Below are 24,200 nucleotides of genomic sequence, written 5' to 3' on the forward strand. Positions count from 1 at the left end.
AGCCACCCGGCTAGCCGCGTTTGGCATGGGCAGGTCTGTCTCTGCTCCGAGGCATATTCCCACTGGGCAGTGACGGGGGAAGCTTGGGACCCGCTATCCGCTCTTTCCGTCCTCCAGGCTGGCAGCCCTGGAGGCCCGCGTGGCGCAGCTGCGAGAGGCGCGGGCGCAGCAGGCCCAGCAGGTGGAGGAGTGGCGGGCGCAGAATGCGGTGCAGCGGGCAGCCTACGAGGCGCTGCGCGCGCACGTCGGGCTCCGGGAGGCGGCACTGCGCAGGCTCCAGGAAGAGGCGCGCGACCTGCTGGAGAGGCTCGTGCAGCGCAAGGCGCGCGCCGCGGCCGAGCGCAACCTGCGCAACGAGCGCCGGGAGCGGTGAGGGAGCAGGCCCCGCCCCTCCTGAGGAAAGGCCCCGCCCCTGCAGGGAGGAGTCGGGCCTCGCCGGTGTCTGGAAGGGAGGGGGGCAGCAGCCGCCCCCTGGAGGAAGGGACCGGGTCTAGCCCCGCCTGCGTGCGAGGCGCCGCGCCAGGGTCTCAGGATGCTTTTTACCCAACAAGGGCCAAGCAGGCGCGGGTGTCCCAGGAGCTGAAGAAGGCTGCCAAGCGGACCGTGAGCATCAGCGAGTAAGAGTGGGGATGGGCCGGTCCGACCCTTGCGTTCTGCCTCCCGCCCCGCCTGCCTGCGGCGACCCAGGCTGCCGACTGTACTTGTGCACAGCCCCGTCCTGAGGCCCCCATGTGGTCGGAGCCCACGAGACACCTGCAGAGGACCGTGTGGTCGTAGGAGCCTGCATGCGTGACCGCTGCACGTGTACACCCACACAGAACCCTCATCACTGGGAATTCCTGTCTTCAGCGTATCCTGTGCTGGGGTCGGGAGGGGCTGGCTTGGTCCCTTGGCCTTTCTGAACTTCATTACCTCTCCTAGGGGCCCGGACACCCTAGGCGATGGGATGAGGGAGAGAAGGGAGACTCTGGCTCTGGCCCCTGAGCCAGAGCCCCTGGAGAAGGAAGCTTGTGAGAAGTGGAAGAGGCCCTTCAGGTGAGGACCCAGGTGACAGTCTCAGAGCTCTGAGCTGAGCCCCACCCCAGAGGCTGCCAGGGTCTTCCTCTTGGACCTTGGAGCCAGCTCTTGGGTTGGGAGGGGGCTTGAGGAGAGGCCAGAAAGCTCAGATCTCCCAGGGCTAGTCTGACCTCCATTGTCTGGAGCCACTTGGGGTCAGTTCCATCTCACCCCCCCAACCCCTACCCTCAACCCTTTCCCTCCTTCTTGGGATCAGAGCTCTGGGGGTGGGGAGTCAGGCTTCTGAATAGCTGTCACCAGGAGAGAACCTGTGGGCAAAGCCCAGAGCCCAGTCATGCCAGGCATGTGTGCGCAGCCATAGGTGTGCAAGCATGTGCATCCGCAGGGACATGAGGCCACAGGTGTGTACAAGCTTGACTGAGCCCGTCTGTATGTGTGAATATATAAGCATGTGTAGATGTGTGCTCACACTTGTGGGACCTGATTGGGGCTTCAGACCTTGGGTGCCTGTCCGCAGGGTCTCCTCCATCCTTCTTGATTTGCCTGTCATTGAGGCTGCCCGCTCTGGGCGCCATTCCCCAGCCTAACACCTCTTCTCAGTCTTTCCTTGCAGGTCCCTGGTGTCCAGGCCTTGGGGCAGTGAAGAAACCGTGGGGAGGGGCATGAGATGCCAGTCCCCAAAGTCCTTGGGAGCCCTTGTGGGCCAAGTCATTGTAGGACACACCCTCTCCTGGGCATTGCTGAGGTCACCCAGTGAGCCTAGGCTCCCCCCTCCTCCCATCCCCAGCCTGGGGGAACCTTCAGCGTCTCTCCTCCCTGTAGGCCCCGGCTCAGCTTCCCAGGAACTTTTGTTGGTGGGTACTAGTAGGGTAAGGCAGTTCTTCCCATCATGAGGGAGACCTTGGGAGACTTTCATTACCAAATCCATTGCTGCCCCGACCTTCCTGGGACTGATCTGGGTCACCCTGGTCTCCTGATCTTGGAGAAGTCAAGTTCTTATCCCAGACTTGAGAGGTTACAAGCCTCCAGGTCTCTGGCAAAGTGTGGAGATGATGGACAGCCATTTGTACACACACCAGCCAGTCCCTTAGCATATCTCTCTTGGTTTTGTCTCAGGTCTGCCTCAGCCACCTCCCTGACGCTGTCCCACTGTGTGGATGTGGTGAAGGGGCTTCTGGAGTAAGTGTGTGTGTGCCTGTGTGTGCACCCACGTGTGTGTCGGGCTCCCCAGCCCAGGCTTGGTCTGTGTCTGTGCCTCGACCTGTCCATCCCTGTGATGTGCAGCTGTCTGCCTGTGAGTCTGTTGGGCCTTGGAGACAGGAGCCAGGTGAATGGCCTCAGCCCCGGCCCCGGTTCAGCTGTCTTCCAGGTTCTGTCCTCACAAGGGTCTGTCTTCATCCAAGGTCGTCACAGGGGACCAAGAGCTCCAGCCTCAGGCAGGGCAGGAGCTCCTACTCAATTGGGAAAAATGCTCTGAAATGTCAGGGACTCATTCAGAGTCACAGAGCCAAGCAGTGGCAAGACTGGGATTGAAACCCCGGCCCTGAGGTTTCTTTGCACCCACCAACCCTACCCTGCTCCTGTGTCTGCCTCTGTGTGCTCCCCACCCCGTCTCCACACCAACCCCTGGGGTCGAGGCTGGGTTGGGGAATGCTCTCGCTGCTCCTTGGGGCCATGTTCTGCCGCCTGCCATGTCTGCTTCCTATGGTTGATGCCTCAGGGGAGCTGGAGGCTCCCACCTGAGAAGGACTTGCTGAATGCCCTCCTGACCCCAACCCACCTTACCCCAGTTTTAAGAAGAGGAGAGGTCACTCAATTGGGGGAGCCCCTGAGCAGCGATACCAGATCATCCCTGTGTGTGTGGCTGCCCGACTTCCTACCCGGGCTCAGGATGTGCTGGTAAGGGAGGAGCTGAGCCACATGGGTGGGGCAGTGGTGAGAGAGTGCAGGCACAGGGGTGGTCTCGGCACCAGGGGTGGTCCCAAGAGGCCAGGGAAGCAAGGCTGGGCTCCTCAGCAGGAGCAGGAGGCTGCCTCCCACAGCCTGTGGTGGGAGCCACTCAAGCATGTTATGATGTGGGCATAAGCCGGGGAGGGAGAGAGAGGAGGCTGGGAGGCCAGGAGGCCAGGCAGGAGAGTAGAGTAGCATAGCACGGAGGCTGCTGCAGGGGTCCAGGCAGAGGTGAGAACACCTGGTGGGGCCGGGTTTGAAACTCAGAGTGTGGACAGAGAAACTGGGGAGGGAGATACCACGTCTGCAGCAGGCTGTGTCTGCACAGGCACCGGTAAGAGGGCCCGTGAGCACTCACAGAGACATGCGCGGGGAGGGCCGGGGCACCAACCTCCCCTTTCCCCACAGGATGCCCACCTCTCTGAGGTCAATGCTGTTCGTTTTGGCCCCAACAGCAGCCTCCTGGCCACTGGAGGGGCTGACCGCCTGATCCACCTCTGGAATGTTGTGGGAAGTAAGGAGCCCTCCCCTGCCGGCCAACTTGGTGCTTCTCTCCAGACCCTCTCCTCAGCTCACTCCTTGGTGGGCAGAGGTCTTGGATCTCTTTGTGTTTCTCTATCTGGAATATTCTGTGGGCAGTGACTAGACAATGCCTTGGAAAGAGTGAGACTCTGGGCTCACTGTTCTGAAGAAGGGTGGAGCCTCCTGGCTCCTAGGGTCCAGATTTGCAGGATGGGGAGGGCTGAGTTCAGATGGTCCCTGATGGGGATTGGTGGGGGTCCCCTATCATGAGGTCCTACAGGGACAGGCCCTTGAAGAGCAGGTCCCTGAGTCTACCAGGTGACCCTCTTCTAGCATCACTTGAGCTCTCAGAACTCAGGTAAGAGACAAGTATGAACTGTTGGCCTTGTCCCAAGCTCTGTGCTCTGGAGAGGGGGTGTCCTGGGGAGTCAGAGCCGGCTCCTGGGGGCTTCCTAGAAAAGGCAAGTTTCTGGCTGGCCTGATCCTGGCTTGCTGCGTGCTCTACATAGTCCCTTCTCCCTGGTCCTCTCTAGCCTGGTCTGTGAAATGACTAGCTGTCCCTGGGACCCAGTGCCAGCAGTTAGGGGAGGTGTAGTCTCCAGCCCAGGCCCGCAGAACAGACCCAGCGATTCTGTCTTCTAACCTGGGGATGTGTCGGGGGGTGGGGCGGGAACTGATCTTCCGCTCTCAATCCCAATTCCTCCATTTTGTGAGGTTAAGACCTCATTTCAACTGTCCCTTCCCCTGGTCCTCCCAGGTCGCCTGGAGGCCAACCAGACCCTGGAGGGAGCTGGTGGCAGCATCACCAGTGTGGACTTTGACCCCTCGGTGAGGAACTCTGCCCCAGTGGCATGGGATTGTGCCCTCTCTGATCTCCACACTGGGCAGGTGGGGGCTGTGGGACCTGAGGGCGCAACATGGATACCCTAGAACCAGGCCCCTGGGCTCTTACACAGATCCTCCTCCTTGGGCCGGAGGCTCCTTTGCCTGCCTTGGTGACCTGGGCCGTGGGAAACTGTGAGGCAGCCCCTAGCCTCATTCTGTGGCCCGAAGAATGTTGCCTCCGGCTTAGCACCTCTCACTTCCTCTCCCATTTCTCCAGGGCTACCAGGTTTTAGCAGCAACTTACAACCAGGCTGCCCAGCTCTGGAAGGTGGGGGAGGCACAGTCCAAGGTGAGGCCTGACTGGGGAGGCTGCCTGGAGGTCAGAGGTCATACCTCAGGACTAGGGGGCCTGTTATGGGGTCTTGGCCAAACTCTTGATCCGTACCTGGGGCCGGGGTACAGGAGACACTGTCTGGACACAAGGATAAGGTGACAGCTGCCAAATTCAAGCTAACGAGGCACCAGGCAGTGACTGGGAGCCGCGACCGGACAGTGAAGGAGTGGGACCTCGGCCGTGCCTATTGTGAGCCCGAGCCCCAGCCCCACCTCTCCTCCCCACCAGCCAGGAGCCCCAGGCCAGGGCACAAGGGACCTCACCTGCTCTCTGGGAGTGGCTCTGAGATTCATAGGCATTTGGGGGTGAAACCTCTCAAGGCCCTCCAATTCCCTAATGGTATCCCCCAGTGGTGTTTTCTGTCTGGTTTCTTGGTGACCTCAGGCTGTGGGTAGGAAAAAGACGTGGGTGAGCCCTGTGCTGGGAAGCGGAAGACCTGGGTTCTAGTCTTGGGAGGACACTGGGTTCTGGGCCTCAGCTTCTCCATATGTCCTGTGGGGTGGCTCCCGACAACCCTCCTCTGAGGCCCTGGGGTCTGCTGCTTGGTCCCCAGGCTCCAGGACCATCAATGTCCTTTCCTACTGTAATGACGTGGTGTGTGGGGACCATATCATCATTAGTGGCCACAATGACCAGAAGATCCGGTTCTGGGACAGCAGGTGACAGGCGCAGGCTGGGGGAGGACTTGGGGAGGGCTGGGGACAGGGCTCCCAAGTTCTTGTTCCTTTCTCTGGCCATGGCAGGAGGAGTCTTGGTGGCACTTTGGGCAGGCAAGGCTGTGGGGCTGGCACTGCCAGCTAGTGCCTCTCGGCTGGGCTCAGCTCCCGCAGGAAGCTGTGCCACTGTCTTCATGGCTCTTGGTCCAATGCTGGACTCCGCCTGGACCTTGCAACCAAGATGGAGATGTACCTTTTTCCATTTAGTTACCACTTTTATATCAAAAGGAAAAAAATTCTTTTAGCTGTTTTTTAAACCAAAGACCCTAACTTTGGGCTTGAATTGTTTGTAAAAGCAAAGCTAGAGGCCAGGCGTGGTGGCTCATACCTGTAATCCCAGCTGTTTGGGAGGCCGAGGCGGGCAGATCACCTGAGGTCAGGAGTTTGAGACCAGCCTAGCCAACATGGCGAAACCCTGTCTCTACTAAAAATATTAGCCGGGTGTGGTGGCAGATGCCTGTAATCGCAGCTACTTGGGAGGCTGAGGCAGGGGAATGGCTTGAACCCGGGAGGCAGAGGTTGCAGTGAGCCCAGATTGCGCCACTGCCGTCCAGCCTGGGCGACAGAGCGAGATGTCTCAAAACAAAAACAAAACCAAAACCAAAAACAAAACAAAACAAAAAAACAAAGCTAGAGCCAGTGCTAGGCCTGCCTCAAGCCTTTACTCACTGATCTCCAGCAATTACTGTTTGCAACCCTTCCTTCTCTCTCTCATATTTTTTAAAGACGAGACTTCATTGCTCAGATGATATGGTTCTTATTTAGTGACCCAAAGGTTTCAAAGGCTCCAGCTTTCAAATCAAAGTCTGTCTAAGTTCCTCGATGGAGGCAGCTGGCTGCAGTGGGGAGAAGGGAGATGAGTCACTCGCAGCCTTTACCCCAGCGATCCAGGGCCCTGGGGTTCCTCCGGACTTGGTTAGCTAGGAAGGCTGCTGCGCCTGGCCCCTTCCTGTCAGGAGTGGCCTGGCTAGGCTGTTCCTCATCCCTGTCTCTGTCCTTGTTCCTCAGGGGGCCCCACTGCACCCAGGTCATCCCTGTGCAGGGCCGGGTCACCTCCCTGAGCCTCAGCCACGACCAACTGCACCTGCTCAGCTGTTCCCGAGACAACACACTCAAGGTCATCGACCTGCGTGTCAGCAACATCCGCCAGGTGTTCAGGTACCAGCCTCATGCCTGCTGACCCTGTGGCCTTTGCTGGGACAGCTGAGCCTCTCTTCTCCTGTAATAGACCCTCTTGGAGCCCTCCCTGGAGGCCCCTCCAGACCAGGTCCTGCTGAGGTACCAAACCCCTCGACAAAGAGGAAGCTCTGGAAGCTCACTGCAGAGGGCAGAGACTAGTGATGACCTCTGTTCTGACCCCAGCCCTGTCTGTCCTCAGGGCCGATGGCTTCAAGTGTGGTTCTGACTGGACCAAAGCTGTGTTCAGGTATGTCCGTGAGAGCATATGCCTGTGTCCAAGTGTGCCCTGCCGGACCCTGTGTGTGCCCTCCCCTCTGACCCCCCGTTTTCTTGCTCTGCTGTGGCCACTACAGCCCGGACAGAAGCTATGCACTGGCAGGCTCCTGTGATGGGGCCCTTTACATCTGGGATGTGGACACCGGGAAACTGGAGAGCAGACTACAGGGACCCCATTGGTGAGCATGGCCTCCACCTGGCCACCTGCCTGGCCCCAGTCCTGCCAGGCTGATTCCAGGTTCTGACATACTGGGACCCTGGAGTCCCCAGCCCTTGTCCCTCCACCTTCCACCCGACCAGAGCCCTTTGCAGTTCACAAGGTACTTTCCACACGCACTTGGTTCCATCCTTTCCACAGCCCTGTGAGCTAACTTGACAGATGAGGAAACAGGCTCAAGAGAGGGCCTCAAACTACCCAGGTCCAGCAGTCGGGGCAGAGCCAGGTTGCAGGCGCAGTTCCTGAAGCCCCCCTGAAGCCTGCCCCTCCCTTTCCCCAGCGCTGCCGTCAACGCCGTGGCCTGGTGCTACTCCGGGAGCCACATGGTGAGCGTGGACCAGGGCAGGAAGGTTGTGCTCTGGCAGTAGGGCCACGACCTGCCTGCCTGGGCTGGAGCTCTTGCCCGAAGCCTGAAGCTTCCTTCGGCGCCATGCAGGGGTTGGGGTTGGGACTGGAGCTGGCCTTGGGATTTAATGGGGAAGAAGGCCTGGCAGGACCTGGCCTGTTTGTTTAAAAATGAAGTATGGGTTGGGGGATTACGCTAGTTTTTCTTTGTATTTTTATCTCTATCTCCTCACTTTTTCTCCCAAAGTAGAAAAAAATGATATCTGAACTGCGTCTGCCTACCTCTTTGCAGCATTCATGGTACAGAGACCTTTGGGCTAGTGGGCTCTGGAAGATCCAGGCTTGGCCCCCTTCCTCCTTCCATACAGAGCTGAGGCAGCCAGCCGAGTCTCTGCCTGCAGAGACAGGTGCTGCTCAAGTCTAACCATGGAAACAGCAGGAAGAAAGGCCCTGAGGCAGCAAAGAGCCATGGATGTGACTCTTGGTCCAACCTGGTCCTGAGGCCAAAGCAACATGTTGGGCCCACCTGCTTCAGGCACTCAGGGTAGACTGAAGCTGAGGAGGGGCTGGGGGAGCTCTGAGGAGAGGGCAGGGAGGCAGCCCAGAGGGGTCCCGGTGGGAAGATCCTAAAAACCCAGGTAGTGATATCAAAGTCCTTGGTCCACAGGGCCTCCCTTAGACTGGGTCCGCGTTCTTCCTCCAGGGGTAGTGCCCAGGGTGGGGCAGAGCAAGGCCTCTGTGTGTCTGTGCCTGGGGGAGGGCAGCTGTGGGCCAGATCTGGGCCTGGGGCTTTGCTTACAAGGCAGAGCCCACAGGGCAGAGTTGGGGCAAACCAACTTCCTTTACCAACCTAGGACTGGGCACAGGCCTGTGGAGACGGTGTTGGTTAAATGGCAACACCTACACTCTGCTGACTCCCAGACCACTCACTACTTTTGGTCTAGCTGCCTCCTGGCCATCATCTCCCCTGCAAGTGACCCGTTCCTCCTGCACCCCATGTCCCTGGGACCTTGTGCTGCTGGTTCTAGTACTCCTCCACCCTCCTGCCACTGTGGGCCACCTTCTAGACCTGCAGTCTCCCCATCCAATCCTTTCCCTTACTATGGCCAGAGTGACTTTTGTTGTTGTTGTTGTTGCTTTTGAGACACACAAAAAACCTTAGTGCAGCCTCAAACTCCTGCAGCCTTAAACCCCTGGGTTTAAGCAATCCTCCCACCTGGTCTTCCCGAAGGGCTGGGATTACAGGTGCACAGCACCATGCTCGGCCCAACAGGGTGACTTTCTAGGGTGTCGTGTTCACAAGTCCAATCCTTTGGAGTTCCCCTGCTGCCTTCAGAGACCACCCGCAACCCCAGCATGAAATCTGGAGCCCTTTGGATGTGACCCTGCTGGCCTCTCAGCTTCATCTTCATTTCCTTGCTATTCATTCATTCATTTACTCATTTAGAGATGATGTCTCACTATGTTGCCCAGGCTGGTCTCAAACTCCTGTGCTCAAGTGGTCCTCCTGCCTTAGCCTCCCCAGTAGCTGGGCCTATAGGTGCATGCCACCGTGCCTGGCTATTTCCTTGCTATCATGAGTGCATCTCAGACATGCTTTTCTTTCTTCCCAGAATGTTCTCCTTCCCTCCCAGCCCCCAGTTCAAATTTTTCTTTCAGGATTCCCCTTCCTTCGCCTGCCAGGCTGGGTAGAGGCCTCCTCTGTCCCTGAGCTCCCCTTTTGTATCTGCCTCCTCCATTTTAAGTCAAGGAACTCTTGGAAGAGGCCAGGATGGGAATAGATTATTTCCTGGGATCAGGCCTGGCACAGAGAATGACTCAGGAAATGTTTATTAAGTGGTTAAATTCTCTTATTCAGGCTGGATGCGGTGGCTCACGCCTGTAATCCCAGCACTTTAGGAGGCCAAGGAGGGCAGATCACCTGAGGTCAAGAGTTCAAGACCAACCTGAGCAACATAGTGAAACCTTGTCTCTACTAAAAATACAAAATTAGTTGGGCATGGTGGCACATGCCTGTAATCCCAGCTACTTGGGAGGCTGAGGCAGGAGAATCACGGAACCCAGGAGGAGGAGGTTGCAGTGAGCTGAGAATGCGCCATTGCACTCTAGCCTGGGCAACGAGAGTGAAACTCCATCTCAACAACAACAAAATTCTCTTATTCAAGGACTCAGCCAGTCTAACGGTCTAAGAGCCTTGGGCTCCAACATTCTTCGATACTCAGCCTTCTACTCTGCCCCAGCCCTCATGCCCTGGCTCCCAGCAGCCACCAGGGGTCACCAGCTGCCTAGTCTACTGAGGCCATTCCCGTTTCCAGGGACACATGGCTGGGGAGACCGACACTCCTGTAGCCACCGTGACTGAGCCCTTAGGAGGTGCCAGGCCCTGCCCTGCACCCTTTCTGCAGCATTATTTGTTCCTCCCAACTACATTGCCATGTAGCTACCATGTTTCCCAGGTGAGAAAACTGAGCTCAGAGAAGCCCTGCAGCTGGACTGTGGCTGCATTACACATACTCTTTTTAAAGCAACGTGTTCAGACTCGCAGTTAGGCAGGGCTGCGGGGCATGCCCCCTCCCCCAGGGTGTGTGTGCCCCCTGCCTGCTACCACGGGGGTAGAGGTGTGATGCTAGCCTTGTGTCTAACCTGACTCCCTCCCTACATCTTCACCCTTTTCTATTCTGGGTCCTGAGCCTGGACGGTTAGTATCCCTTGAAGTGAGGGACATGCAGGGACACAGGAGTGAGGGAACTTGAATCTTGGGAGGCCAGCTGCGCCATTGCGTTTCTCCCTCATTTCACAGGGTTGTAGTGGAGACTGCTTAGAGAGCCCAGAGGAGGTGCTCAGGAAATGGTCTGACTGATCTCTGGGACAGTGAGCCCTTCTCTCCCCCAAAACCTTCCCTTCTACTTTATGGGCGTCAATCTTACCACACACGCTGCTGCCATCGGGTGGAGTTGCCTCTCTCAGGGAGCACATGTTCACCTTAACTTGCTTGGAGGTCCCCCTCCCAGTAGGAGGGGGTGCTTCCTGGAGGAACAAGTCTGTAAGGCCAGAAACAGGCCAAGGAGTTCCCGGGAATGAGGTAGGCAGGAGGAAGAGGAGCTCACAGACTGAGCAGAGGAGTTCAGAGGGGCATGTCAGCGGGAAGGCTGTTCCTCCCTCCAGCCTCTTCAGTCCCGTTCAGCAGAGAGGTGAAAATAGATGTTGACAGCTCCTCCAGGCTCTCAGCAGTCACTGCCCAGGTTTTCAGAACTCTGGTGCTCAGGGGCTGCCTGCCTGAATTCGGGTGCCTAGGTCAAATCTGGAGTGGCCCGCACTCATGGGTATAAAAACTGAGACCCAGAGATGGGGCAGCTCCTTCGGGTCACAGAGCAGAGCTGGGATAAGAACCCAGACCTCTGATTCCTGCTTTTCTAAAAACTGGATTCAGATTCTGCAAAGGGGCTGGCCAGGGCTTCTGGAGGCCTAGTTCTAGGTTCTCCAGTTCTGTCTTCCTGGGAGATCTTGGGCAGGTCACAGTGACTTCCAGGCGCTCATATCCCCACCTGTGAAACTTCCTGCCCCAAGCCTCCCCAAAAGTGACATGGCTCTTCTGCAGAGCTGTTCTGTAGGCATGAGGACCATGGCCTCTGCCTGCCCTGCCCAATCTCAGGCCTTAGTGAGCCTGAGACCCCAGGGAGGGAGAAATGACAGATGCCCCTATCCTGTGCTCCTACTGCCCCTTGGTCATCTCTCAGTCCCTGGCTTCAGTCTGCTGTTGCGCTGAGTGTCTCCCACCAGATGCAAGCCCCTCAGTGACAAGGCTCCAGAGACCTGAACACTACCTGGGGCAGCACATTTGCTGAATTGAATAGAGGTGGTTTCTGGAGAGATCTGACACCATCAGACGTGGACCCATCTGTGAGATTCAGACATATCCATGCCTGGATACAGGCTCTTCCACTGGAGACACATTCACTCATCACAAACATTTTCAGCTTATCTGTACATTACCCTATTTCATCCTCCTGGATCTTAGAAGTTGCACTATCTGCTTGTTCCTACTTTACAGATGAGGAAAGCAGGGTCCAGAAGGTGAAGGGATGAGCCTCAAGTCACAGCTAATCTGAGGTGGCCTGGGGACTGGAATACATTTCCTTTGGCTGTGCTCTTTTCTGTTCCTCACAGGAGCAAGTGGTGAAGAGTGAGTTCTATGCGCAGTGTAGAAGGGCTGTGAGCCCTGTCCCTGGGTTCATTTCTGTCAATGTTTCAGCATAAAACATTCTAGGAAAGGCCGGGCGAGGTGGCTCATGCCTGTAATCCCAGCACTTTTGGAGGCTGGGGCAGGTGGATCACCTGAGGTCAGGAGTTTGAGACCAGCCTGGCCAACATGGTGAAACCCCGTTTCTACTAAAAATACAAAAAAATTAGCCGGGTGTGGTGGCACATGCCTGTAATCCCAGCTACTTGAGAGGCTGAGGCAGGAGAATCGCTTGAACCCAGGAGGCAGAGGTTGCAGTGAGCTGACATAGTGCCATCACACTCCAGCCTGGGTGACGAGCGAAACTCCGTCTCAAAAAAAAAAATTTTTTTTTTTTTCAGGAAAATATTCCCAGACCAGAGCTCTCAGAAACAGACACAGCAAAAGTGTGTTTTTTGGCCTCTGGGACCGAGGGAAAATAGTCTAGGAACAAGATGCTCTTTGGCATTCATTTGGTTCTTGGCAGATCAAGCAGTAACAAGGCAAACACAGGAAGAGTCTAGGAGGAAACTTAAAAGTTGCAGGATTTGGGGATAAATTACAATCCTCCCCCTTCTAACCTAAAATTTCTGTAATTTAGTTATATTTCTGTCATGAAAAACAACTTCACGATGAACAAAATAAATGCGAAGATTCAGAGCAGCTGGATTTCATCCTAAGGCCACTGGGAGAGGGCTGGGCAGTCATTGGCCACAAAACCAAAAGCTGCAGCTGGGTTCTTCAGGCAGTGAGTGGATAGAGCAGCCTGGGATGCAGTTGCAATCTAGAGGATAAAGGTTTGTTTTGTCCCAGGTCCCAGCGGGAGAGTCCAGTGGCTTGCTTTCTTTTCAATTTCTTGCCATCCAAAGAAGTCTGTGTCTTAGTAAGTCTGGTTTCAAATATTGTGACCTTTTTTGTGTGATGTTCTCTGTATCTAGAAACAACTCATCCAGGGCATGAGAGTTAGATAAGCCCTGGGAGATAACCTCATTCCATTCCTTTTTTTTTTTTTTGGAGACAGAGTCTTGCTCTGTCACCCAGTCTGGAGTGCAGTGGCATGATCTTGGCTCACCGCAACCTCTGCCTCCTGGGTTCAAGCAATTCTCCTGCCTCAGTCTCCCGAGTAGCTGGGATTACAGGTACCCACCACCACACCTGGCTAATTTTTGTATTTTTAGTAAGAGACGGGGTTTCCATTATGTTGGTCAGGCTGGTCTCAAACTCCTGATCTCAGGTGATCCACCAGCCTTGGCCTCCCAAAGTGCTGGGATTACAGGCGTAAGCCACCGTGCCCAGCCATCATTCCATTCCTTTACAATTGAGGATGTGGCAGCTAAGAGGGAAAGGTCTTCCATCAAGCAGTGGCAGGGCTAAGGCCAGATGATGCCCTCCCACTGGGTCTCTGGCTTGTGAATGTGGCTGGGGTGGTGGGTCAGAGAGGAAGGGGATCTAGGTGGTGTACTGAGAACCTGTGGGTTGATTGCATCATGCATCAAGTCAGTTCCTGTGATGAAGGAGACCAAAATTTAGCTATGACGCTGGGGTGAGGCAGTTAGCTGAGCTTTGCCCTTGGTCACAGACGGAACCTCCAGTACCGAAAGCAGCTTTCACTGGCAGGGAAGTCAGAAGACGGAAATGACATTTCGTGTCCTGACAGCCCTTCCCACATTTTTGGTAGAGCACTTCACACACATTCTTTCCCTTGGGCCTTATGACAACTCTGTGCGTTACTATGGGCCTGGAAGACTATCAAGGACCCTAGTTCTGGAGGGAAGGACACTGAGAAGAGGCAGGAGAGGTGGTGGTGAGAAAAGGCAGGAGAGGTGGTGGTGAGGAGAGGTGGTGGTGAGGAGAGGTGGTGGTGAGAAGAGTTCGTGGTGACCAGCCTGTGGCACACTTTATATGGCCTTCCTGGAACCACAGTCTTATTCTCAGGTTCCAGATGAGGACACAGGCTCAGTCCCCATGGCTGTCAAGTGGCAGAGCCAGGATTTAACCCAGACCTCCTGGCTCCTAAGTCCATATGCGGTTGGTGGGAGTGTAAATGGATATAGTCCTTATAGGAAGCCAATTTGGCAAAATCTAACAAAATTAAATACATACCTTTTTGACCCTCAAATTCCACACTTAGGAATCTACCCAACATTTATACTGGAACATATTTTTTTTTTTTTTTTTTGAGACAGAGTTTCACTCTTGTTCCCCAGACTGGAGTGTAATGGCACAATCTCAGCTCACCGCAACCTCTGCCTCGCAGGTTCAAGCGATTCTCCTGCCTCAGCCTCCAGAGTAACTGGGATTACAGGCATGAGCTACCATGCCCAGCCAATTTTGTATTTTCGGTAGAGACTGGGTTTCTCCATGTTGGTCAGGCTGGTCTCAAACTCCTGACCTCAAGTGATCTGCCCGCCTCGGCCTCCCAAAGTGCTGGGATTACAGGCATGAGCCACTGCGCCCGGCTGAACACATTTTTATGTAAACAAGCAGTGTGTACACTTAAGAGTCTTATGCACAGGATAATGTCTGGAAAAATGCTTACTGCATGTCCCCAGCTCCAGGAAAGAGGAGAGCTTGTGGGGCCCTTCCCCAAACAGGCTGTGTCCTGGTCCTCAGTGTGGCTGGCTGGAAGCCAGGGGGACTCAGCCTTTGACTAAGAATGCTCCATCCACCCCTGGGACCGAGAAAATCTCCTTTCACACAATTCATTACTCCTTAGGGTGGAGGTTTAGGAAAGGGGAGAGGCATCCAGAATGCCCGCTTCCTGGAAGCCAGTGGTCACATCCGGCAAGGGGACTTCAGTGACCTTCCTCTCACCCCTCCAGCAGCAGAATCAGAGCTCCCTCCTCAGCTGCCTCTATGCTATCTGCCCCTCCCTTCTAGCACATGTCCCACAGTACTGTCCTCACGTATTTCTTTTTTTTCCCATGGGAAAAGCAAAGACCGTAACCTATTTACTGCCATCTCTAGTACCCAGGATATTACACCTAGCACATGGGGGCTTCAGGGACTGTCTGTCTCATAGATGGATTAATTTACTTTCTCCTCTCTCTGTCTGTTAGCTGGTTTAAAGGAGGGCCCAGGAATGTTTTTATAAGAAGCATGGGCCTTTTGGAAAGGTCTGTTTACCCAAACCTTTCTATATTAAAACTTAGAAAACATAATTCCATTTTTTTTATTATTCAACATTTTATACATAATAAATACAAACTTTTTACAGCCACTGTAAAGAAAGCACATCTGCACAGAGGCTCCCTCCGAGCCCTGACCTGTGCACTGTGGTGCTGGATTCCATATCCTGGATGGAGGGGTTATTTTTTAAAAAGGAGGCATGTTTTCACAACTTTGTTTTTTAAAATAAAATTAGCAGCTCTTCCAAAAAATATTTTAAAATACAACAAAAGATTTCAAATAACCCTTTGAGGTTGTGGAAAACCCAAATTCAAGGACAATTTGGCTAGCTAAAGACAGAATACAAGACTGGGTGGCAAGAACTGCTCTATTTAATAAGCATTTGAAGATTTTTAATATGTTAGCAAACTTTAAAATCTTAAAAAAACCACCCTTTTAATTTCTTTTTTAAACTTAAGAATAAGTTTGATAAACACAAAAGACCTCAAATAGATCAACAGGTTAAGAAGTGTAAAAAACAACAACGAAAAAAAACCCCAAATCATGGAGAAGATTCATTAATGGGTATTGTCACTGAAGTGATCAAAGAACTAAAAATTTCTTCAGTTATCACCTTACTTTTGGTCAAAAATCCCATGGGGACATTTGGCGAGCATTTCAAGTTTTTTAAGATTCTTAGGAGGGATGGAGTTTTCAAAGCATAATACAACTTGTAGATTAAATTCTGCAAATTTGATTTCTTAACCAAGGAAAAAAAAAAAAAACAAACCACAACCGGCGAACATCCCTTAGTCCCTAGGTATTGTGCTCCCTACCTTCTACAGGAGCGGACAGCAGACAGTCAGCACCTGACGTGGGGGCACCTGCTGCTGCAGGCTTGCTGGCCTGCAGAGAAGGCCACTCCTGGCTTTCCCTGTGACACACAGAAGACACTTGTCTTTTCCTGGTCAATCTGTACTTGTGCAGGGTGCGCAATCCTTCAGTCCTTTCTCATAGAAAGCTGGTTTCCTCCACGAGCCACCAGGTTCTTCCTTCCACGGAAATGTCAGGGTAGTGGGACCTGGAAGCTGCATTTTCCACCATAGCAGTTGGTCTGGACCAGCCACAGCCTGGCTGTCTGGGCCGGTCTGCTGGCTTGGGAATAAAATAATGCCGGGGCGTCCCCAGTAGAGAAGCTCAACAATGCAGGTATGTGTCCTCAACTTATCTAGACATTTGGATTCTAAGGATACTGGTAAGAAGAGTATATGCTGTAAAAATTAAGATGAAAAATACCCAAATACAAAAGAACATTATATTGGCTAATTTCAGATCCGGAAGTTCCATTTCTGCTTTAGCCACAGCCTCCTTTCTATTAGTCTATGTGATGAACAAGATGTGGCTACTAGTTCAGCCCCTCCATATTAGCTCTGCTAATTCTAAATGAATGGCACAGATATTAATACGAAGGACACTGTTATTTTAAGTCTGTTAGTTGTGGAAGAGATGTGCGTTAATGCAATTGGTGCTAAATTCAGGGCAGTCCAATTTTTCCCAATAAGGTTTCACTTTCTCAGTCTGGGGACTAACCTTGGGGAGGAGCCAGCCTCTCCTGAAATCCCTCCTTCTGTTTCCTTATGTAGCCAACATGATCTGATTAATTCTCAATCAGATGAGCAAAAGCCACTTGAAGAAAGATGAGAATCTTTGCCACATCCTTGTGGTCACAGTAATATACTGTACGAGTGCACATGATCAGTAATTTAGGGACTGTGCCCTGGAATGAGGCCTGTTCTTGAGTCTCATATAAAAACAGACCACTGTTAGGCATGAGGGCTGCCCCCCTCTTTGCTCCTAGGGTCCGCTAGGATTTGTGCTATGGTAGGAGAAATGACATAGAAAATGACAACAAAAAAAAAAGGCACGAAATATTCAAAACGTGGGAGGAGTCTACCAGGCCACCCAGTCACACATAATCCTCCTTGTTTTTTGCTCTGTTCAAGAGTCATCATCATGCAAAGGTGCCTAAAAAACAAGACTGGCCAAACTCCAAGCCTGGCCTTGATTGTAGCAGTAATGGATGGGCAAGCCCATCATCACACCAGTGTGATTTCCACATCTTCAATCTTCTCTGCTGGCCTTCGGTGATTCTGTGTAGGTGGAGGGGGAGCTGCCCGGACCTGAGCAGGAAACAATTACGTAGTTTGTCAGTCAGTTCCTGACTCAGTATCTGAAGCATCCCCAAAACCTAATCACTCATCTGTCCAAGGACATGGGCACCCTAGGGGTCTCAGAAATGTTGTGAGCACGTGCTTTCAACCTAGTCTTCACTATTTCCTACACTGAGAAGCAGTTGTTCTCAATGAAATATCAAGCCCACAAATCAGCTTCTTGCCTAGGCTAAAAACCTCATGGGCACAAGTCCTATGACTAAGATCCTAGCACATCCTCCAAAGCAAAGGTCTGGCTGGAAGCAAGGGAGAGCAATGCTTAGAGAAATGAAACATTTCAGTGTGTCTTGGGTAGAGAGTTACAAAAGAGAAGGCTAGAAAGGTAGGCTAGGGTTAAGTTGTGAAGGGCCTTGTTAAACCATGTTTAAACATCTGCTTTAAGAAGAAAAAAATAAATCTGTGCTTTATTCTGTAGGCAAAAGAGGAGTTTTTGGTGGATTTTAAGCAATATCAGATCTGCGAAAAGATGACTCAGGTAACAACTGGAGAAAGGATCAGAGGCAAGCAAGAGTCCAAGTAAGAAGGCAACTTAGGAGACTTTTGTAATCCTCTGAATGAGAGTTGACAATAGCCCAAACGAGGGTACTGGCAGTAGGGGAAGTAGAGAAGTGGAAAGATTTGCGAGCTCTCTGCAAGGTATACCTGGCAGGATTTGGGAATGACTGTGGGAGGCAGGGGCAGGAGGTATTAAGAATGATGCCAGAACACCAGTAGGATGGGGGTTCCATTTACCAAGATAGGCAATATGGGAGAAGGAACATGTCTGGAAGGGAACATAACTCATTTTTGCTGAGTTTTGGGGATCTGGGATATATAAACTGAGATATCCACACATCTGAAGCTCAAGAGAAGAGATCGGATTGGCAGTTATAAATCTGAGACTTGCTGGCATATAAATGGTTATCATAGCTGTGGAAGTAGATGAGGTCATTCGGCAAGAGTGCGTTCAACAACTTCAAGAGAAGCAGCCCAGTGACAGAACCATGAGAATTATCAGCAGAGACAGGTGGCGGCAAGGCTGCAAAGGTCCACAGAAAGGTAGGACCAGAGAGGAAGAAAGCAAACGAGGCAAATGTAGAGAAGCACATCAGCCCACTGCTCTCTCTTCCCACTCTTACCCACCAGTCCATCTTGCCACCACTTCTTTCTTGGATGCTGCTCCAGCCTCCTAATCGCTCCCTATATCCTTTCTGCCACCCTCCATCCATCCGCCTCTTAGCTGCCATAGCGATGCTTTAAAAATGCACCAGCCACAACACTGTCCAGCTTACCACTTTACAATGGCTTCCTGTCTCATTTGGGATAAAGACTCAAGTCCTTAAGAAGGCACTCAATACATATTTGCTGAATGAATGAAGCCAAAAGAAGCCAGTGGTAAAGGAATGGTATCAAAAGCTAATAGGGGTCAAGGAAAATAAAATTGCAAAGTATCCGACTGGATTACCGTGCAAGTTATGACCTTGGAGTACAGTGGTGGGTGGAATGCAGATGGCAGTAGAGTGAAGGGTGAGGAGAGGTAACTTTGCAATAATATATTCACCCGGAGAATAAACGCTCTTTAAGGCCATGAAGTTAGCTTATTATTTCATCTTGGTATTCCTCAAAGAGGCAAATAGAGGCCTGGAAAATTAAATGCTTACTGAAAAAAGTGTTTCACAATTAGCCCGCTTTAATGCTCATAAAGTTTGTTCTATTCTAAATCACTTTCATAGCCATCATCTTGCAATCTCACTGTGGCTCAGTGAAAAAAGTTCCAGTGTAGATTAAATGTCCCGAGATGAGTTGATTTCTATGGCCTTCCTTTTCAATAGCTCTTTTTACCTTCCCAAACCCAGTTCATCCTTGTTTGGCATAGTCAGTAACAACACAGGGGCCACGGGGAAACATTAATTCCTTACTTTCAATTTGGAAGAACTATGCATTCGATAATCCTGCAAGATCAGAGACTTACAGGTCGCAGTTTGCCATATGAGGTCTCAGGAGTATGCCTTGATGCCTGTGAGAATCCTGGTGACTCAGCATGAAGGCTTTTTTCTAAGGGAGAAAACCAAAGAAGCTCATTTTACTTGAGTTGTTGAGCAATAATGCTGATGCAAGGCTGGCATGGTGGCTTGAGCCTGTAATCCCAGCACTTTGGGATACTGAGGCGGGAGGATTACTTGAGGCCAGAAGTTCAAGGCTGCAGTGAGCTATGATCCCACCACTGCACTCCAGCCTGGGTGACAGAATAATACCCTTTGTCCAGAAAAAATACAAAAATTAGCTGTGTGTGGTGGTGCATGCCTGTATTCCTAGCTACTAGGGAGGCTGAGGCAGGAGGATCACTTGAGCCCAGGAATTGGTTGCTATGAGCCGTGATCATGCCACTGAACTCCAGCCTGGGTGTCCAGCCCAGGTGACAGAGACTCTGTCTCCAAAAAAAAAAAAAAAAAAAAAAAAGCAAATGCAGTTTTTTTTTGCCCTTCAGGCGAATATGTAGGTTTCTGAAGTGAAAATGCATTTAGACCCATGCCCAGGAGAACCCTTACCGTTTGCTGAAGGAGACCGGGGAAAGTACAGGGAGCTCCTCTTATCTGGGCTGGGGTAGGGGCTGCTGGGAGGCTGGTCGTACAACGGCAGTGGAGGCAGGGAGGCGTGTGGCTTGGGGGAAGGAGAGATCTGCAGCAAAGGGAAGCGAGGTTACCCGGTGCTCCCCTCCAGGAAGGAGAGCCTGGCTGCTTCTCTGACTGCTCTGTACTCATGCCTTTTCTCTAAAGCTAAGCTGATTGTTGAAACTTGTCAACCTCATTAGAGGCAACTGAGCATTAAATAACCACCTCAAGCTCCAATTTTGCATTGCACTTCACTTTTTCCTCTTACAGATCTCATCACATTACTGATTTTAGTTTATCTTAAACAGTTATCAAGTGAAGCTACTCTCTAGGGTTCTATTGAAAATGTACCAAATTAGTCAATTCAGTAAACTTAGCAAAGAACAACAACAACAAAAGGAACAAGTTGGATTTTTTGGGGTGAAGATAAAATACTTTGCTGAATTTCTGACTTCCCCAGGTTTTGTGCATGTTAGGCTAAGGGGTCACAATCACCACGCAAACAAGATCGGCAAACACGTTCCTTCTTCCTCTACCTGTCTGGCCTGCAGTGATAGATCCCTGAGGGGACAAACTAAACTCTGACTGAATTAGAGGTTCCTTTAAAGGCTGTTTCCCTGTGATGAACTAAGTCTAGGGTCACTTGAGTGGGGATTAGGGGCTCTGGCAGGCTCATTAATTCTCTGAAATAGACTGGCAGGACCTGGACTAGGCAAGGAGGCTCTGACAGTGAGGGAGAGAGAGAGCCAGCTAAGAGTTTTACTACGTAAATTAACCACAGAGCAACGCCTTCCCTCTTCGGTTTGTTTCTTTCTCTCCACCAAAACGATCTTTGGTATGTCACATATAATTTGGCATTTTGGTTAACCAATTCAAGGAAGAGAGAGAATGTGGGAAGATGGAGGTGTGGGAGGATGGCCACATTCCACAAGGGACTGACTGACAAGTCTCTGGTTTCCCAAATGCAGTTGTGCAGACACTGGCAACCAAGGACCGGTGAGGGTAAGGCAGAGACTGCAGCCCACTTTTGTGTGGATCCACAGACCCTTTGGGAGCAATTTTCTTTAAACATCTTTTAATTCAACTGTCTCCCCTCTCAGGTACCTGAATCTCTCTCATCCATGGAGTGTCACCATTTTCTGAGGCTGAAAGTTCTTCCACTAGCACCGATGGGAAAACTCCAATACGCCCATTGAATTCCCCTTCCCAGAAGCCATCATCATCTTGGTTTTCTTTGTTCAAGATACGGATTATTGCTCCCTCAGGAAAAGATAACTCATCATCTGTCTGGCCCTCATAATCATAAAGTGCTTTCACAAAACATACTAGGGAGCAAGAGAAAAACAAATCTGGTAAGATAATTAACAGCCGGTTGCTTTTGCAACCACCCCTATGCTCACATGACAACTAAAAGAGCATCATACAGAATAGGATTAAAGTTGTAATTTTTTTACTCACTGATGAATGATTAACTTTAGGGTTCTACTGTGCAGGACAAACGTGACCATATAAAGAAAAGCATATTATAGGACAGGAGGAAAGTTGTGCTTTTTATCCTACTGAAGGCTTACTCCAGGGCAATACAGTTTAGGTCAAACGTGACCAAATAAAGAGTGCCTTGTTTCAGTCTTTACCACTGGCATCTCCGTTGAGGCTGCCTGAAACGAGTTCTGCTTCCGTGGAATTGCTGGACGTGTGTGACCGACTGTCCAAAGCGGCCAGGGACTGCAGCATGCTCAGGAGGCTGTTCGAGGTGGGAAACTGTAGGTACTTTTCTGGCACATAACCCACTTGGCCAACTTTATTTCGAGCCTGGGTAAAAGACATGTGACAAAACAAGTTTACACACACAATTTAGACAGGGCACAACAAAGACCAAAACAAACTCCTAAAAATGTCACAAGAAAGGGCGATATGAGCAAAGGAATATACCTTTACCCAGTCTTCCATATCTCCATCTTCAATCACTTCTAACACCTCATGTTCCTCAATGGTCAACTCATCTGGTTGAGAAGCCTGCAGTGTAGGATGGTCATGGACAAAATTAAAAAGGTTAGATAAGGAGCAGATGTGAGCTGATCATGACAAAAACTGGGGATCAAAATATTGAAATGATTTTGAGAAACATGTTGAACATAAAAATTTAAATGCTGTAAAACTTTCATAATGAGGTGAAGTTTTACTTTAAAAAACTAAACAGAATAAAACCATAACAAAAACTCAAGAAACTGAATCCTCAAGAGGCAATGACGTTCAATGAACAGAACATGTAAGCCTGGGCAACACAGCGAGACCCCCATCTCTACCAATAAATAAATAAATAAGTAAATAAATAAATAAAATTAGTCAGGCATGGTGGAACATGCCTGTAGTCCCAACTACTTGGGAGGCTGAGGTGGGAGGATCGCTTGAGCCTGGGAGGTTGAGGCTGCAGTGAGCCATGAGTGAGCCACTGCACTCCAGCCTGGGCAACAGAGCGAGACCCTGTCTCTAAAAAAACAAACAAAAAAAGAGAGCACTTCCTGGAAGTAGAGGACCTGGGTTCCAACTCCAGCTTCTGTATCAAGTTATTCAACTTGATGCCTCCATTTCTTTGAAATGACAATCCTGCCATTTTCTGGAGGATGTGAGTCAATGTGGGATGGATAAGCACAGAACTGTGATGATTTGGGAAGCAAAGGCAAACGAGAAGGCACTGAATTGGAACTGCTACCAGAGGGCTCCCATGGACAAGCATGCAGTGAAAATGCAAAGAACTATGTACGTGAATTTGATGATAGTGGGTGCAGTGCCTAGGATTGATCTGGAATCACTGTAAAGCAGTGGCCAAAAGAAAAAAATTGTAGGAAAGGAAATGATTGAGATCAGTCATGGTTTGGATTTCTTATGCTCCAACTTAACTGTGTGGAGACTGAGCTGATCCATTTGCGTGCTACCGTACAAGCTGCTAACCATAATGGTTTTATTATCCCTGACAGCAGCAATCCACCAGCATCAGCCACCCACATGTTGCCCTTGAGACTGCCAAATCTGTAAACGCTCTGAGGCTCCACAGAGGGGCTGGAAAGTCCGTGTGGCTTTGCTTCCTAACAGTCTTGCCTGTCATGTGTAATAGACAGGGGCCTGCTGGCTTCTGGCTCTCTAGAAAACAGTCTTAAAAGCTTTCCCCAAGTCCCAAGATGGGTTAAAACCATCACCTAAAACCATAAAGTTTTTAAAATCTCACAATCTCAAAATGTAAAATTAACTCCAAGTTACACAAACAAAAATAAGGCAAAAAAGGGGTCATTTTCAAGATCAATTTCCCATTTTATGAACATTAAAACATTTCATCAAAATCCAGATTCTGGATGTTGCCATAGCTCCCTGAGACAGAAAAATAATATTGAGGAAAAAACCCCACTCATTTACCCTTGATAGCTTTTCCAATGGAATTCCTTCACTACTCTGAAACCACACTATGCCTTGAATATGCCAGCAAAAGGCATTTTTGTAATAAAAATGTTTTTCATGGCAAGACCTAAAAAGTATCAACACGACCAGACGTTAATGTATGTGACAGCAAACCAGGGAGGTAGTACACTTTTAAATAAACTGCTGCCCTTATAAAAAGCTATGGAGAGGCTGAGTGAGGTGGCTCACGTCTGTAATCCCAGCACTTTGGGAGGCCAAGGTGGGTGGATCACTTGAGGCCAGCAGTTTGAGACCGGCCTGGGCAACATGGCGAAACCCTGTCTCTATGAAAAATACAAAAAATTGGTGGGTGTGGTGGCACGTGCCTGTAATCCCAGCTACTTGGGAGGCTGAGGTGGGAGGATCACTTGAATCAGGGAGGCAGAGGTTGCAGGGAGGCAGAGGTTGCAGTGAGCCGAGATCACACCACTGCACTCCAGCCTGGGTGACAGAGCAAGACCCTGTCTCAAAAAAAAAAAAAAAAAAAAAAAACAACAACAAACAAACAAAAACCATGGAGGTCCATGCAAGTTTTTCAACACTGCAGCACTAGTTGTCCAATGTAAGCAGACACTAGCTTGATCATCCCATCCTAAAGCAGTGATGACCAATTCTTCCACCTAACAAGGTCAAGTTCTTTGCATGGCTATCAAGACCCTGCAGAGTTTGGTCCCTGTGGGCCTCTTGACGCTTTGGCCCCTGCACACTATTTCTATTCTCTGAGCATACCATGTTCTTCCTTGCCTCTGTGCTTTTATAGGTGTTCTTCCGTCCATCAGGCTCTGTTCCCTCTTTCCTATCTGATGAGCAGACTTAGATTACTGTGGGTTTAAGTCCAGCTTCAGTATATTTTTATGGGCAAGTGACTGTAAGATACCTTTGAACCTCAGTTTTCTTTTTTCGTACTAGAATATAAGCTCAATGAGGGCAAAGATTTTTGTCTGTTTTGATCAATGCTATATCCCAGAGCCTAGAAAAGCCCACAGCACTGATACATGGAAGGTGCTCAAGCACTATTTGTTGAATGAATGGGGTGTTTGATAATATCTTCCTCATAGGGTTATTGAAGGGATTACAAATAAATAGATAGATAGATAGATAGATAGATAGATAGATAGATAGATAAGTAGTTACGATTACTTTTGACTTGAGACTGA

The 24,200-nt window shown here is 50.7% G+C and overlaps 2 protein-coding genes across 16 annotated transcripts in view, besides 5 other annotated features; one reads left to right on the forward strand and one right to left on the reverse strand.

The window, feature by feature from the left end:
• ATG16L2 (autophagy related 16 like 2) overlaps positions 1 to 21,814 on the forward strand; it is a 29,330-nt gene extending 7,516 nt beyond the window's left edge. For 4 of the 11 annotated variants that reach the window (NM_001318766.2, NM_033388.2, XM_011545334.2 and 1 more), the window contains 14 exons: positions 118 to 369; positions 552 to 617; positions 922 to 1,035; positions 2,134 to 2,196; positions 2,808 to 2,916; positions 3,376 to 3,481; positions 4,247 to 4,317; positions 4,592 to 4,663; positions 4,777 to 4,897; positions 5,262 to 5,367; positions 6,433 to 6,582; positions 6,803 to 6,850; positions 6,957 to 7,058; positions 7,377 to 7,709. In NM_001318766.2, the coding sequence (NP_001305695.1) occupies positions 118 to 369; positions 552 to 617; positions 922 to 1,035; positions 2,134 to 2,196; positions 2,808 to 2,916; positions 3,376 to 3,481; positions 4,247 to 4,317; positions 4,592 to 4,663; positions 4,777 to 4,897; positions 5,262 to 5,367; positions 6,433 to 6,582; positions 6,803 to 6,850; positions 6,957 to 7,058; positions 7,377 to 7,464 (1,468 nt within the window). In that variant the 3' untranslated portion in view covers positions 7,465 to 7,709. The other 7 variants (XM_005274376.6, XM_047427840.1, XM_006718732.3 and 4 more) reach the window with 7 other exon arrangements.
• Positions 312 to 481: a silencer, noted in NCBI's record as "silent region_3732". NCBI's record gives its function as "represses an Ori minimal core promoter by ATAC-STARR-seq in GM12878 lymphoblastoid cells {active_cell/tissue: GM12878}" and the evidence as "EXISTENCE:reporter gene assay evidence [ECO:0000049][PMID:35858748]".
• Positions 802 to 1,131: an enhancer, noted in NCBI's record as "active region_5210". NCBI's record gives its function as "activates an Ori minimal core promoter by ATAC-STARR-seq in GM12878 lymphoblastoid cells {active_cell/tissue: GM12878}" and the evidence as "EXISTENCE:reporter gene assay evidence [ECO:0000049][PMID:35858748]".
• Positions 1,172 to 1,281: an enhancer, noted in NCBI's record as "active region_5211". NCBI's record gives its function as "activates an Ori minimal core promoter by ATAC-STARR-seq in GM12878 lymphoblastoid cells {active_cell/tissue: GM12878}" and the evidence as "EXISTENCE:reporter gene assay evidence [ECO:0000049][PMID:35858748]".
• Positions 1,332 to 1,451: an enhancer, noted in NCBI's record as "active region_5212". NCBI's record gives its function as "activates an Ori minimal core promoter by ATAC-STARR-seq in GM12878 lymphoblastoid cells {active_cell/tissue: GM12878}" and the evidence as "EXISTENCE:reporter gene assay evidence [ECO:0000049][PMID:35858748]".
• Positions 4,412 to 4,912: an enhancer, noted in NCBI's record as "H3K4me1 hESC enhancer chr11:72537383-72537883 (GRCh37/hg19 assembly coordinates)". NCBI's record gives its function as "activates a minimal SCP1, AML or CMV promoter by ChIP-STARR-seq in primed H9 embryonic stem cells {active_cell/tissue: H9 hESC(primed)}" and the evidence as "EXISTENCE:reporter gene assay evidence [ECO:0000049][PMID:30033119]".
• The window catches only part of FCHSD2 (FCH and double SH3 domains 2), a 305,574-nt gene continuing 296,192 nt past the window's right edge, over positions 14,819 to 24,200 (reverse strand). For 4 of the 5 annotated variants that reach the window (NM_014824.3, XM_011545409.2, XM_011545410.3 and 1 more), the window contains 6 exons: positions 21,523 to 21,606; positions 21,225 to 21,402; positions 20,695 to 20,915; positions 19,528 to 19,657; positions 18,951 to 19,033; positions 14,819 to 16,948 (listed from right to left, as the gene is read on the reverse strand). In NM_014824.3, coding sequence (NP_055639.2) covers positions 16,865 to 16,948; positions 18,951 to 19,033; positions 19,528 to 19,657; positions 20,695 to 20,915; positions 21,225 to 21,402; positions 21,523 to 21,606 — 780 coding nt within the window. In that variant the 3' untranslated portion in view covers positions 14,819 to 16,864. Of the gene's footprint in view, positions 16,949 to 18,950; positions 19,034 to 19,527; positions 19,658 to 20,694; positions 20,916 to 21,224; positions 21,403 to 21,522; positions 21,607 to 24,200 lie in introns of those variants that run through there. The other variant, XM_047427950.1, reaches the window with a different exon arrangement.

Source organism: Homo sapiens, chromosome 11 (assembly GCF_000001405.40).
Source record: "Homo sapiens chromosome 11, GRCh38.p14 Primary Assembly".
NCBI lineage: Eukaryota > Metazoa > Chordata > Mammalia > Primates > Hominidae > Homo > Homo sapiens.